The sequence below is a fragment of the Homo sapiens genome, chromosome 18, assembly GCF_000001405.40.
Source record: "Homo sapiens chromosome 18, GRCh38.p14 Primary Assembly".
Taxonomy (NCBI): domain Eukaryota; kingdom Metazoa; phylum Chordata; class Mammalia; order Primates; family Hominidae; genus Homo; species Homo sapiens.
In genome coordinates this window covers 32,017,826-32,030,626 of record NC_000018.10, presented here as the reverse complement: position 1 = coordinate 32,030,626, position 12,801 = coordinate 32,017,826, and the positions used below count along the sequence as shown (strand labels likewise).

Here is a 12,801-nt window from a genome sequence, read left to right as displayed (position 1 = left end):
GAGAGGAAAGGTCCATTCAGTTGGTTGGGGGCCTTAGAATTTTATTTTTGGTTTACAGTGGGATTGCAAATGTCCTGTAAGAATGAAAGCCACTCATGCATATTTCTGGATCAATTTAAAACTCATCAGGAAGACTCTCAGACTCTACTTAGGAAACCACCAATTTGATGTACGCTTTACTGCTCATACTTGACCACAAATTGAACGTTTCAATCCATTTACCTGAAAGTATTTCAGAATTATCCTAAACAGAGTTTCATTTTCTAAAAATTAGGTACATTCACTGCCGGGTAGGGTGGCTCACGCCTGTAATCCCAGCACTTTGGGAGGGAGAGGCGGGCGGATCACCTGAGGTCTGGAGTTCGAGATCAGCCTGGCCAACATGGTGAAACCCTGTCTCTACTAAAAATACAAAATTAGTTGGGCGTGGCAGCATGCGCCAGTAGTCCCAGCTACTCAGGAGGCTGAGGCAGGAGAATCGCTTGAACCAGGAGGTGGAGGTTGCAGTGAGCCAAGATCGCATCACTGCACTCCAGCCTGGGTGACAGAGCGAGACTGGCTCAAAAAATTAAATTAAATAATAAAAAATAAAAATAAAAATTAGGTACATTCTATGACTTAGAGCAGTTGTATCTGAGGTCAATGGAGACTTGGCTCTTTCTTATGGTGTGCTCCAGTTCATTTAGCTCTCTTCAGCCCATTCTCAACCTCTAGATGCTTTTTAGATAACTCAGTCTCCAGCCCTGATCTCTTTCCCCCAGTCTATTCCTCCAGAGCCTTTGGATATTTCCATTTGGATATCTGCCTATCAGACTGCTGTACATTCAGCAGGCCCATTCATGAGTGCACTCACTTCCTCCTGTGCCAGTCTCTCTGACCCCGTTTATTCACCAGCCTTAAAGCCCAGTGGTTGGCTTTGATATCTTTCTCCCTTGCATCTACTGTTTTCAATCTGACAACAAATGTCTTTGAGTATTTCCTTTGAATGTAAATCATTTTTTTTTTTTGAGGCAGGGTCTCATTCTGTCACCCAAACTGAAGTGCAGTGGTGCAATCACTGCTCACAGCAGCCTCCCGAGCTCAAGTGATCCTCCCACCTCAGCCTCCTGAGTAGCTGGGACTACAGGCATGCCCCACCATGCCCAGCTTTTTTTTTTTTTTTTTCTGTACAGACGAGGTCTCACTTTGTTGCCCAGGCTGGTCTCAAACTCTGGGGTTCAAGCAGTTCCACCTCAGCCTCCCGAAGTGCTGAGATTACAGGCATGAACCACCACACCCAGCCTCCAGACTCCTTTTAAGTTCCATTTATACAGCTCCAAGTTATCTAGTGGCTCTCACCCCAGCTTTCTAATAGAAGATAAGGCAGAAGTGAGAAGGCTCTTCCTTCAAATCTATTTTTTACAACTGATACAGCAATATGAATAAAGTTCACTTAAAATTATAAAACATTAAAGTGAAACTTCTTAAATTAAAGTCCACCAAAGGAAAAAGAACTAAGCTAAAAGTGAGGCTATATGAGACATCTTAGAAATGTCATAGATCAACTTTTCATGGCACAGTGTTCTTCCAAAAGAAATACAGAGATAAGAAATAATATCTGTTCCTGGGGTTTTGCTTATGGAATGACTGAAGGAAAGAGAAACCATGTTTTGAGCCTTTACTATGGGATACTTTTACATTTTAAATATTCATAAAAATGGCACTACTCACCCCATTTTACAAATGAAGAAACAGAGATTCAAAGAGATTAAGCAACTTAGTGGTAAAGAAAATTGGCTGGGCAGGGTGGCTCAACCTGTAATCCCAGCATTTTGGGAGGCTGAGGTGGGCAGATCACTTGAGGCCAGGAGTTTGAAACCAGTCTGGCCAACATAGCAAAACCCCATCTCTACTAAAAAATACAAAAATTAGCCGGGCGTGTTGGCACACACCTGTAGTCCCAGCTACTCAGGAGGTAGAGGTTACAGTGAGCTGAGATCACGCCACAGCACCCCAGCCGGAATAACAGAGCGAGACCCCATCTCAAAAAAAAAAAAAAAAGGAAACAAAATATTTTACCCCCAAAAATAATTATTTGACATACTTCGAGATGGCTATTGAGATGGCCTGCAGAAAGGAAAAACCCTGAAAAGCTGCATGTTGTGGGGGAGAGAAAAGTCTACATTGGTAGAGAAAGTCTACATTGGTGAAATAAATAGGCAGGCTTTCTGAGGTCTCCCCTGCCCAATCTAGGAGATTAACCAAGAGTCTGAAACGTTTGAAGGTCTAACAAAAAAACTTATCATGAACCACTACCTATTATTTTTTTTTTTTTTTTTTTTTTTTTTTTAAGACGGAGTCTCGCTCTGTTGCCCAGGCTGGAGTGCCGTGGTGCAATCTCGGCTCACTGCAAGCTCTGCCTCCCTAGTTCACACCATTCTCCTGCCTCAGCCTCCTGAGTAGCTGGGACTACAGGCACCCGCCACCATGCCCGGCTAATTTTTTGTATTTTTAGTAGAGACGGGGTTTCACCATGTTAGCCAGGATGGTCTCGATCTCCTGACCTCATGATCCGCCCGCCTCAGCCTCCCAAAGTGCTGGGATTACAGGTGTGAGCCACCGCGCCCGGCCGACTACTGCCCATTCTTTCTGAGAGCTTCTACCTGTGAAGTTTCATCTGTATAACAAGAACAGCTTTGCCCCTTATGTTTTTTTTTCCCTCTTATAACTTGTCTTGCCATCTTGCAATCCCCCATTCTTCTGTAACCTCAAGTATAAAAGCATCAAGCATCTGGCCCTTTCTTTCAGTTTTCATATTTTGTATGACTCCCACGCCCATATGCATATTAATAAATGTGTATGCTTTTATCCCATTAATCTGTTATCTGCCTGTTTTATAGACTCAAAGTATCGAATCTTTAGGAGAAAAATTTTTGGTGTTGTGATCAGGATGTAAGTCATTTTGTTCATTCTAGAGCCAATGAATGGGATCTTGGAACAACGGATGAAAAGCCAGCAAAGAAAGGTAAACTCATTTTTTTTTAACCAAGTCAGTTCTCCTCTCCGATCTCTGCCTATAGTGCCTGGTCAAATGTGGATGGTATGAGTCTCTGTGTTTTACCCTTTCTAAATTTGGATCAACAGAGAAAAACATATAAATTAGTTCTTGTATTGGTTTCAATCGCTTTTAAAATAAATGAATGGCTATATTTAAAAGAAAACTTTTTAGAGCTCACATCTTAAATAGCTACCTTATTGGTACCTATGAAAAGATACAAAAGGAATACAGGTTTAGAAACTCCCTCGGCAAGATTTTTGAAAAGTAGAAATCAGATTTAAAACAAAGTTAAAATCCTTTGTACTCAAATTGCATGCTTTAGATTCCTTATGAAATTTGTTAAATTAAAAAAAAAAAAAAAAGACTCCATCCTGTAGTCCAGTGGTAAGGATTCTGCACTTTCACCACTGCAGCCTGGATTCAATTCCCTTTCAGGGAACAAGACCCCAGGAGATGTAAATCCTTTAACTCAGGAAGGAAAAATAAAAGAAATACTTGGAAAAAATTAGTTTGAATTGTTTTGAATTTATATTTGTATGACTTCTTAACCTTTGGGGTACCCATTCATTCTGTAAGCCTCTCATCCAGCTGTTGTTTTCCTCTGTCTTAAACCCTAGAGAATATGGCCAGACAAAAATGTGGGTTGTACCCCATTTGCGGCTGGCAAAACCTTGCTTTCTTTAAGCTGTTGTAGGGAATGATCTGGATTTTGAAAGGGTTGCAACTTTTGCTCCCTCTTAGGAAACCTTGGTTGAAGCCATCAAGAGCTTCTTGGTTTCAGTCTCAAATGTTCTTATTTGTTTTGATTTTGAGTTATTTCCTTTGGTTAAAACGTTGGTTTATATTTAGAGTGTGATAGTAACTTTTTCCCCATTAATCTGCTTCCTCTACGGGGCCAGAGAGACATACCTCCTGCTACAGCTGGGAACCAAACAGGTGAGGAGAGGTGGGTACCCCCTAAAGAGGGGGTGCTGGGAGGGTCTGGGGAAAAAGAAGCATGAAATGCCACAGCTACCATTCTCTCTGCTCCCACAAAAGACTGGGTGCTCAGGCTGGGGACAGTGGTTCACACCTGTAATCCCAGCACTCTGGGAGGCCGAGGCAGGCAGATCACCTGAGGTCAGGAGTTTGAGAGCAACATGGTGAAACCTCTTCTCTACTAAAAATACAAAAATTAGGTGGGTGTGGTGGCACACCCTCGTAGTCCCAGCTACTCGGGATGCTGAGACAGGAGAATTGCTTGAACCCGGGAGGCAGAGGTTGCAGTGAGCCCAGATCGGGCCACTGCACTCTAGCCTGGACGACAGAGCAAGACTACATCTCAAAAAAAAAAAAAAAAAAAAAAAAGACCGGGTGCTCAGAGGACAAAATGTTTGCTGCTTGCATATTTAAAAGGATTTTTTAGGCTGAGGCACGAGAATCGCTTGAACCCAGGAGGCGGAGGTTGCAGTGAGCCAAGATTGCGCTGTTGCACTCCAGCGTGGGCAACAGAGCAAGACTCCATCTCAAAAAAAAAAAAAAAAGTTTTTTTTAAGAAAGATGGCTCTGTGGTCAAAAGCCAGCTTAATTAATAGCTGATATTCTCTGTTCTCTTTCAAATCCTGTTTCTCCCTTGGGAACTTCTTAGTCAACTAGACCTTTTTTTGTTCCTCAGACTCCTACTAACTAAAACTGTATTGGCCTTTTGAAAGCTTAAAATCTCCCCAAATTGGCTCCTCTAAGACTTGTTCTTCCATTTCCTTCCCCTTCTGCCCCTCCTCCTTTTTGCCATTTTTGATACCACATGAAGAGGCCTAGAGGGGACTTCTGTGAACCCTGAGACCCCTTGAGGAACACACACACACACGCATACACAAACACAAAAGCCACCAATCGCCCCTCTTTGGGGGTCCTCTGTCTTCTTTTTTTTTTTTTTTTTTTTTTTTGAGACAGAGTTTCACTCTTGTCACCCAGGCTAGAGTGCAGTGGCGCCATCTCGGCTATTGCAACCTCCACCTCCTGGGTTCAAGTGATTCTCCTGCCTCAGCCTCCTGAGTTGCTGGAATTACAGGTGCCTGCCACCACCCCTGGCTAATTTTCTTGTATTTTTAGAGAAACGGGGTTTCGCCATGTTGGGCAGGCTGGTCTCGAACTCCTGACCTCAGGTGATCCCCCCACCTCAGCCTCCCAAAATGCTGGGATTACAGGCGTGAGCCACCACGCCTGGCCATTGGGGGTCCTCTGTCTTCTCACTGAGCCACAGAAGCCATGGGCAGGGTCCATCCTCTCATGTCTAAAGTTCTGCTCTCCTGCATTAAACTTCCTAATCTCTCTGGCTTTTGGATACTGGTGTGTGCATGTGATATATGTTGTGTCTACATGTATATATATGTTTACACATGAGTTTGTATAGTCTGTAGTACCAAACTGACTTCTAAATAAATGAGTACTCACAAATTAACTATCCCAAATGTTTTTCGAAGTTCATATGACTTTAGTAATCTTTGGTAAATCAAGCTAGGTTTTTTTGTTTGTTTTTGTTTTTTTGAGAACGACTCTCAATCTGTCACCCAGGCTGGAGTGCAGTGGTGCGATCTCAGCTCACTGCAACCTCTGCCTCCTAGGTTCAAGCGATTCTCCCACCTCAGCCTCCATGTGCGCCACCATGCCCGGCTAATTTTTTAGTATTTTCAGTAGGGACAAGGTTTCGCCATGTTGACCAGGCTGGTTTCCAACTCCTGGGCTCAAGTGATCCGCCTGCCTCGGCCTCCCAAAGTGCTGGGATTATAGGTGTGAGCCACTGTGCCCAGCAATAAAGCTAGTTTTAAATTGTTAGTTGGCTGGGTGTGGTGGCTCATGCCTGTAATCCCAGCAGTTTGGGAGTGCTCATGCCTGTAATCCCAGCTCTTTGAGAGGCTAAGGCAGGAGGATCACTTGAGCCTAGGAATTCAAGATTGGCCTGGGCAACATAGGCAGACCCTGTCTCTATAAAAAAATAAAATTTTAGCAGGGTGTGGTGGGGCATGCCTGTTGTTCCAGCTACTCAGGAGGTTGAGGTAGGAGGATTGCTTGAGCCCAGGAATTTGAGGTTGCAGTAGGCTATGATCACATCACTGAGTAGTTTGTTCTTAGATCATATCTCTAAAAACAAACAAATAAAACTACTAGAAATAAGACAAACAATTCTTCAGGCAGAATATACCAAAAAAGCAAGATATGTTCTTGGAGAGAAAGGTTGTAAGAATGGCATGAGGCCGGGTGTGGTGGTGCACGCCTGTAATCCCAGCTACTCAGGAGGCTGAGGCAGGAGAACCTGGGAGGCAGAGGTTGCAATGAGCCAAGATCATGCCACTGCACGCCAGCCTGGGTGACACAGTGAGACTCCATCTTAAAAAAAAAAAGAAAAAAAAAAAAAAAAGAATGGCATGAAGTGTGATTTTTTTGTTAATGGAAAACGAATTGTGTCTAGTTTAGAAGTTATTTGAAGCTTGTTTCAAATTGAAAGAATAAAAAAAGATATAGATAAAACTAAATGAATATAGAAAGTTGGAAATAGAAGAAAAATCGTAAGAGGTTATAAAAGATATGTAAATCTTGTGTGGTCAAAGCTGACTGAAATTGGATGGACTTGTTTATTAGGTTTTATTTAAATTTATTATTGATATACTGATTCAAAAGTAAAATATGGTTTTCTCTTTTGAACAAGACTTTTGTGTAGTAGAGATGGGGTCTCACTATGTTGCCCAGGCTAGTCACAAACTGCTGGTCTCAAGCCATCCTCCTGCATCGGCCTTCCAAAGTCCTGGGATTACAGGCATGAGCCACTGCACCTGGCCAAGTATACTTTTGTGAGCAAAATAATTTACCTTTTTCTCTTTGGATTCACAAACTGGGTTTTGAGTATTCCTATTTCATGGCAATATAGTTACATGCATAAGTTCAGTAACAGTCTGAACAGGACATAATTGGAGACAGTGGTTATTTTAGCAAGGCTTTAACTGGAATGTCATACTTAGATACATGATCAAACTGTTTTGAGGGACTGAAATTGACATTAAAAAGCCAACAGACTTAGAAAAAGATTGGCCTGGTACCCTGTGTATATGGTTCCCTTACAAAATCCTGACCTTGCGGTATGTAAAGAATTGTCACTTTCTTGGCTGGGTGCAGTGGCTCACTCCTGTAATTCCAGCACTTTGGGAGGCCGAGGCAGGCAAATCACCTGAGCTCAGGGGTTCAAGACCAGCCTGGGCAAAATGGCGAAACCCTGCCTCTACAAAAAATACAAAAACTAGCCAGGTGTGGTGGTGCATGTCTGTAATCCCAGCTACTAGAGTGGCTGAGGCGGGACAGTCACTTGAACCTGGGAGGCAGAGGTTGCAGCGAGCTGAGATCACGCCACTGCCCTCCAGCCTAGGTGACAGAGTGAGACTCCATCTCAAAATAAACAAATAAGTGAAAAATAGCCAGGCATGGTGGCAGGCACTTATAGTCCCAGCTACGTGAGAGGCTGAGGCAGGAGGATTGCTGAGCCCAGGAGGTGGAGGCTGCAGTGAGCCATGATTGCACCACTACACTGCAGCCTGGGTGGCAGAGTGAGATCTCACCGCTAAAAATAAATAAATAAATAATAAAAATAAAGGAAATGTTTAATGTTTTAAAAATTAAGCTTTAAATGGGGGACTAAAGGAAACTGAAAATATTTCACCCCAAAATGTACTTCTTTGATATATTCCCACAGGAATAACCCTGAAAAGCTGCCTTTTGTGGAGGAGACTTGCATCTGTAGAGAAAATCTACACTGGTGAAATAAACAACCAGGCTTTCTTGGAGGCACCCCCTTATCTGTACCTAGGAAATTATTAACTGAAAGTCTGACACCTACGAAGGTCTGACAGAGCAACTTAACACAGGCTCATGCCTATTCTTTCTAGGAGCTGCTATCTATGAAGTTTCATCTGCATAACTAGACCATCTTTGCCCCAGCCCCTTCTTTCTTTCTCCCTCCCATAACCATGTTCCAAGCCCCTACTCTGCTGTAACCTCAAGATGGTATAAAAGCATCAAGCATCTGGCCCTTTCTCTCAGTTTTCATATTTTGTATGACTCCCATGCCCATATGCTCATTAATACATTTGTAAGCTTTTCCCCCCTTGTTAATCTATTAGCAGTTTGTTTCATAGACTCAAATGATCAAAACTTTAGGGGAAAAAAATCAAATTCAAATTTCCCTAAAGTGGTCACACATCTGGCTAGTGGCAGAGGTGAATTTCAAATCCAGCTCTCTGTAAGGGCCAGTTACTACTGCATCACAATACAACTTATAAAGTGCTCTTACATATTCATTCAAGGTACTGTTGTTATTATTAAACTTGTTTGACTTGAAATAGGTTTACAAACAAAAATCAGCATAAACCACCTAGTTCAACATGTCTGAAAATGTAGCTTCAATATGGGATAATAAAATACAGAAGGTTCATTTGCATTTATTCGTTTTCCAACTTAATTTCAATGGAAAAGAGTAATTCATTTAGAATGTACAAATGGTATTAACGCTCACAATCTCTACTGCAGAAAGGACTCTGGTTAACATTTATAAAGTGGAAGGGGACCAAGTAAGTTTGCCAAAAGGAGGAATATGGAAATTCTGCCCACAGCCAGAACAATGGACATAGATTTGTCAAAACAAAGAACAGTAAAGAGAGGAAAGGCAATTTGTTCAGCCCTTGTAATGCTATTTTATGACTATTTTTCCAGTTGCTAGTTTCCTATTCACTTTAACAAAGAAAAAGATTAAACAAAAAATTTAACATTTTGCAAATTTATATTATCCTTTAGTAGAAGGAAAAATATTGTAAATGGTAAATTATAATATTCAAAGTCCAAACCGAGAAAACAATCTCCAGTCAGATCATTGAATAGCAAAGCGGTCTGTTCCAAAAAGAATCTTCAAAACGCCCACTGTTTATGTTTTGCACAACTTTAAAGTTTTAATGCTAATAATGACTCAATTTAAATGGAGATATCTTTAGGCTGTTATTGCCCTAAAATAATCAATATATTTTATGACTCACACAGCCCATCTTGGCTTCCAGACTGGCCTGTGGATATTATGTTAATAAGCTACATCTGGACAGCTGAGCAACAACATCAGTAATAGAAAGGAGGGTAAATTTAAGCCTCGAGTTTTAAGAACAAAGCTGAAACAACAGGCCTTGAAAATACAGCTACGGCCGGGCTCCATGGCTCACGCCTGTAATCCCAGCACTTTGGGAGGCCGAGGCGGGCAGATCACGAGGTCAGGAGATCAAGACCATCCTGGCTAACACGGTGAAACCCCGTCTCTACTAAATATACAAAAAAATTAGCCGGGCGTGGTGGCGGCACCTGTAGTCCCAGCTACTCGGGAGGCTGAGGCAGGAGAATGGCGTGAACCCGGGAGGCGGAGCTTGCAGTGAGCCAAGATCGTGCCACTGCACTCCAGCCTGGGCAACACAGCAAGACTCCATCTCAAAAGAAAAGAAAACACAGCTACGAAATAATGCCCAAAGCACTCTTTATTTATACATTGTGCAGGCTGCACACTTTTGTCCCTGGCTCACAGACGGGCAGTAGTGAAAACTGCTTTTCAGATACAAGGCTATAGGTATTAAGGATTACCTAAGTCCTTTCAAAACTTTCTTTTTTTTCTTTCTTTTTTTTGAGACTGAGTTTTGCTCTGTTGCCCGGGCTAGAGTGCAATGATGCCATCTCAGCTCACTGCAACCTCTGCCTCCCAGGTTCAAGCAGTTCTCCTGCCTCAGCCTCCCAGGTAGCTGGGATTACAGGCACGGGTCACCACACCTGGCTAATTTTTGTATTTTTAGTAGAGACGAGGTTTCACCATGTCGGCCAGGCTGGTCTCGAACTCCTGACCTCAGGTGATCCATCCACCTCGGCTTCCCAAAGTGCTAGGATTACAGGTGTGAGCCACCACGCCGGGCGTCAAAACTTTTGACTGCAAGTGCACAACATGTTTTTAAGGACTACCTAAATCCTTTCAAAAGTGGTCCTCAAAAACATGTTGTGCACTTGCATTCATAATAACGGTATTTCTTTCTTCCTGCTAAGCCAAATGCTGGTACAAGCCACTGTGGTATCACACATGGCTTCATCATACTATAGTCACCCTTCAAAGGACATTAAGTAGGCTTCCGCTCCTGATCTGTGCAGACACAACACACACACACGTATCCACGAAAAAAAATCAAAGCAAAGAGAGAAGGCTGGGTGCAGTGGCTCACACCTTTAATCCCAGCACTTTGGGAGGCCGAGGTGGGTGGATCAATTGAGGTCAGGAGTTCAAGACCAGCCTGGCCAACATGGTGAAACCCCATCTCTACTCAAAATTCAAAAACTAGCCGGGTGTGGGGGTGGGCGCCTGTAATCCCAGCAACTCGGGAGGCTGAGGCAGGAGACTCACTTGAGCCTGGGAGGCGGAGGTTGCAGTGGGCGGAGGTTGCAGTGAGCCGAGATAGCACCACCGCACTCCAGCCTGGGCGACAGAGCCAGACTACGTCTCTCTCTCTCTCTCTCAAACACACACACACACACACACACACACACACAGTAAACAGAGAGCACAAATTCACAGCTCCAACTCCACCAGTTATTCAAACACACATTAAGGATGTGCCAATTTTATATAGGGACTTTGTTTTTAAATTCTTCTTAGAAACGACCACGGCTTTGCACCAACTGTGAGTTTTAGCTAAGTACTATGCGGTTTTGAGAAAGTTATTTTACTCTGTAATTTCCGCCGGTTTGGAGAGACCGTGCGTAAAGCAGGTAGCCTGCCACCTCCTGTTACGTTGTGGCTGGGTTTTGAAGGAGTACATTCAGGGGCTTGGCGGCTAACGTCCAAGCCCCACCCTAGCAGGTTGTTAAACTCTAACAACTGTGGAAAGTCACTCGGAAGCTCCAGTTTGACTTGCCCTTTGAGGGGCTGGGTGTCTGTGTTGGGAAAGGGTAGCAGGGGTGGGGGTGGAAAGACACTTTGCACAGATCCTTGTTTGCTTAAGACGAGCCTCTGTGGGCATTCTGGGAACACGTGCACAGCTCCAGCAAAACAAAACGGACCCGGGTTTCTGGGGCAGAGGGAAGCGCAGCCCGTTCTACCGTGTTCAGCGGGGTAACTGCGCTTTGCGGGAGCCCCTGCCTTGTAGCTGGAGCTCGTTTCCTTTCCGTGCCTGGGCGAGCGCTGGTTCTCCAGCCAAGAGCACCCTCCCCAGTTGGCGAGCCCTGGCTCTGGGCGGGACCCGTGCCTGGATCCCCTTCTCTGGAGTTCCGCACCTGGGCTTCGGGAGCTGAAAGCGCAAGGGGGCTACAGGACCCGCTTGTTTATTTTTTCTCCTCCCGAAATCCTGTGTCACCTTCCGACCCGCGTTTTCCCCGTGGTCCTGCATCCGACGGGTCCAGGTTTCTCCCTGCAGCAATTTCCTAAGAGGCTGTCTTCCGTCCCCCTCCTTCCCCACACCATGCCCTCAGCTTCCCCACATCGCCCTCCTTAGGGGTGGGCGCAAACCGAGCTCCCCTGGAACTTACACGTGGCCACAGCGGGTCCGGACAGGCTGGTGTAACACCTCAAGGCACACGGCGCAGTCGAAGGACGTGACGGGCAACTCCGGGTCCCTCCTGCGCTCCAGGGCCCGCGCGGTGGCAGAGGCGGGCGCCGATTTGCCGCTGTCGGTGCTCAGCACGGAGCCCATCGCTGTGCCTCTCGCCCAGACAGCTGCGAAGCACTCAGTGCCTGCCGCAGGGTTGTTTTGTTGCCGTGCGGTGGAGGAAGGAAGTCCCGGCCCAGCTGCGATCGCCGCCTCCCAGCTCTCCCAGCTCGCGCAGCCCAGAAGCCACCTCCGCCGCTGCGCCCAACCCTGGTCTAGGGCAGGGCGAGCGCGCGGCCGCGGGGCTGAGATCTTCGGCAAGCCGCCTAGGTTAAGGCGCGGAGGCGGAGGCGGCAGCCGCCCCGTGCTCTGTCTTGTGGTATTGGGAGGATTGAAACCTGAAACCTCAACTGCAGAGAAGAGGACTTGAGGCAGCAGTAAACCTTCCAAGCTATCACACACAGCTGCTTTCCCCACTGTCAGAAGTTAAGTGCGGGCGTGGCCATGCTTAATGATAATCAGAGAACAGCCGCTTTTAAGGTGAAGTGGAAGACCATCCTCCACTGTTGTCATCACAATAAGCTGCAAAAATGACCTATGACCTATGATTGGGCGTCTCCTAAGACGGTGCTATCGCTACTCTGTCATCCAATCAATAGTCCATTAATGGAGAGATAGCCTGGGTAGTGGAAAGAGTCCTGGAGATTAGGATTCCAATCTTACCTCTCCTACAGAGATTCTAGTGCTAAACCCTGCCATCTCCAGTTTCCTCTGCGGCTCAGGATTTCCTCTGTTGTTTGTACGCTCCCCACCCCGCCCTTTAAACATGATCAGCCAGGCGCGGTGGCCCACGCCTGTAATTCCAACACTTTGGGAGGCCGAGGCGGGCTTGAAACTCCTGCTTGAGGGCAGGAGTTCGAGACCAGCCTGGCCAACATGGTGAAACCCCGTCGCTGCTAATAATACAAAAATTAGCCGGGCGTTAATTTACACTTTTTACGAAGACTTATTTAGTGCCCACTGCACGCCAGACTCGGTTCTAGTGATGAAGACACAATCGTCAACAAGCAAACAAAATCCCAGTTCTCACAGAACTTACTTTAAAAAACAAAAACAAAACTTTGAGATAATTATAGATTCACA

General features: G+C 45.1%; 1 protein-coding gene across 5 annotated transcripts in view, besides 5 other annotated features; it reads right to left on the bottom strand.

The window, feature by feature from the left end:
- RNF125 (ring finger protein 125) overlaps nt 1-11,802 on the bottom strand; it is a 71,982-nt gene extending 60,180 nt beyond the window's left edge. For all 5 annotated transcript variants that reach the window (NM_001436860.1, NM_001436861.1, NM_017831.4 and 2 more), the window contains exon 1: nt 11,600-11,802. In NM_001436860.1, coding sequence (NP_001423789.1) covers nt 11,600-11,763 — 164 coding nt within the window. In that variant the 5' untranslated portion in view covers nt 11,764-11,802. The remainder of the gene's footprint in view (nt 1-11,599) is intronic.
- Nucleotides 10,735-11,607: an enhancer, noted in NCBI's record as "H3K27ac hESC enhancer chr18:29598983-29599855 (GRCh37/hg19 assembly coordinates)". NCBI's record gives its function as "activates a minimal SCP1, AML or CMV promoter by ChIP-STARR-seq in primed H9 embryonic stem cells {active_cell/tissue: H9 hESC(primed)}" and the evidence as "EXISTENCE:reporter gene assay evidence [ECO:0000049][PMID:30033119]".
- Nucleotides 11,041-11,090: an enhancer, noted in NCBI's record as "active region_13209". NCBI's record gives its function as "activates an Ori minimal core promoter by ATAC-STARR-seq in GM12878 lymphoblastoid cells {active_cell/tissue: GM12878}" and the evidence as "EXISTENCE:reporter gene assay evidence [ECO:0000049][PMID:35858748]".
- Nucleotides 11,608-12,480: an enhancer, noted in NCBI's record as "NANOG-H3K27ac hESC enhancer chr18:29598110-29598982 (GRCh37/hg19 assembly coordinates)". NCBI's record gives its function as "activates a minimal SCP1, AML or CMV promoter by ChIP-STARR-seq in naive H9 embryonic stem cells {active_cell/tissue: H9 hESC(naive)}" and the evidence as "EXISTENCE:reporter gene assay evidence [ECO:0000049][PMID:30033119]".
- Nucleotides 11,907-12,201: a silencer, noted in NCBI's record as "tiled region #13938; HepG2 Repressive non-DNase unmatched - State 1:Tss". NCBI's record gives its function as "represses a minimal TATA promoter and a strong SV40 promoter by Sharpr-MPRA in HepG2 cells {active_cell/tissue: HepG2}" and the evidence as "EXISTENCE:reporter gene assay evidence [ECO:0000049][PMID:27701403]".
- Nucleotides 11,907-12,201: an enhancer, noted in NCBI's record as "tiled region #13938; K562 Activating DNase unmatched - State 4:PromP". NCBI's record gives its function as "activates a minimal TATA promoter and a strong SV40 promoter by Sharpr-MPRA in K562 cells {active_cell/tissue: K562}" and the evidence as "EXISTENCE:reporter gene assay evidence [ECO:0000049][PMID:27701403]".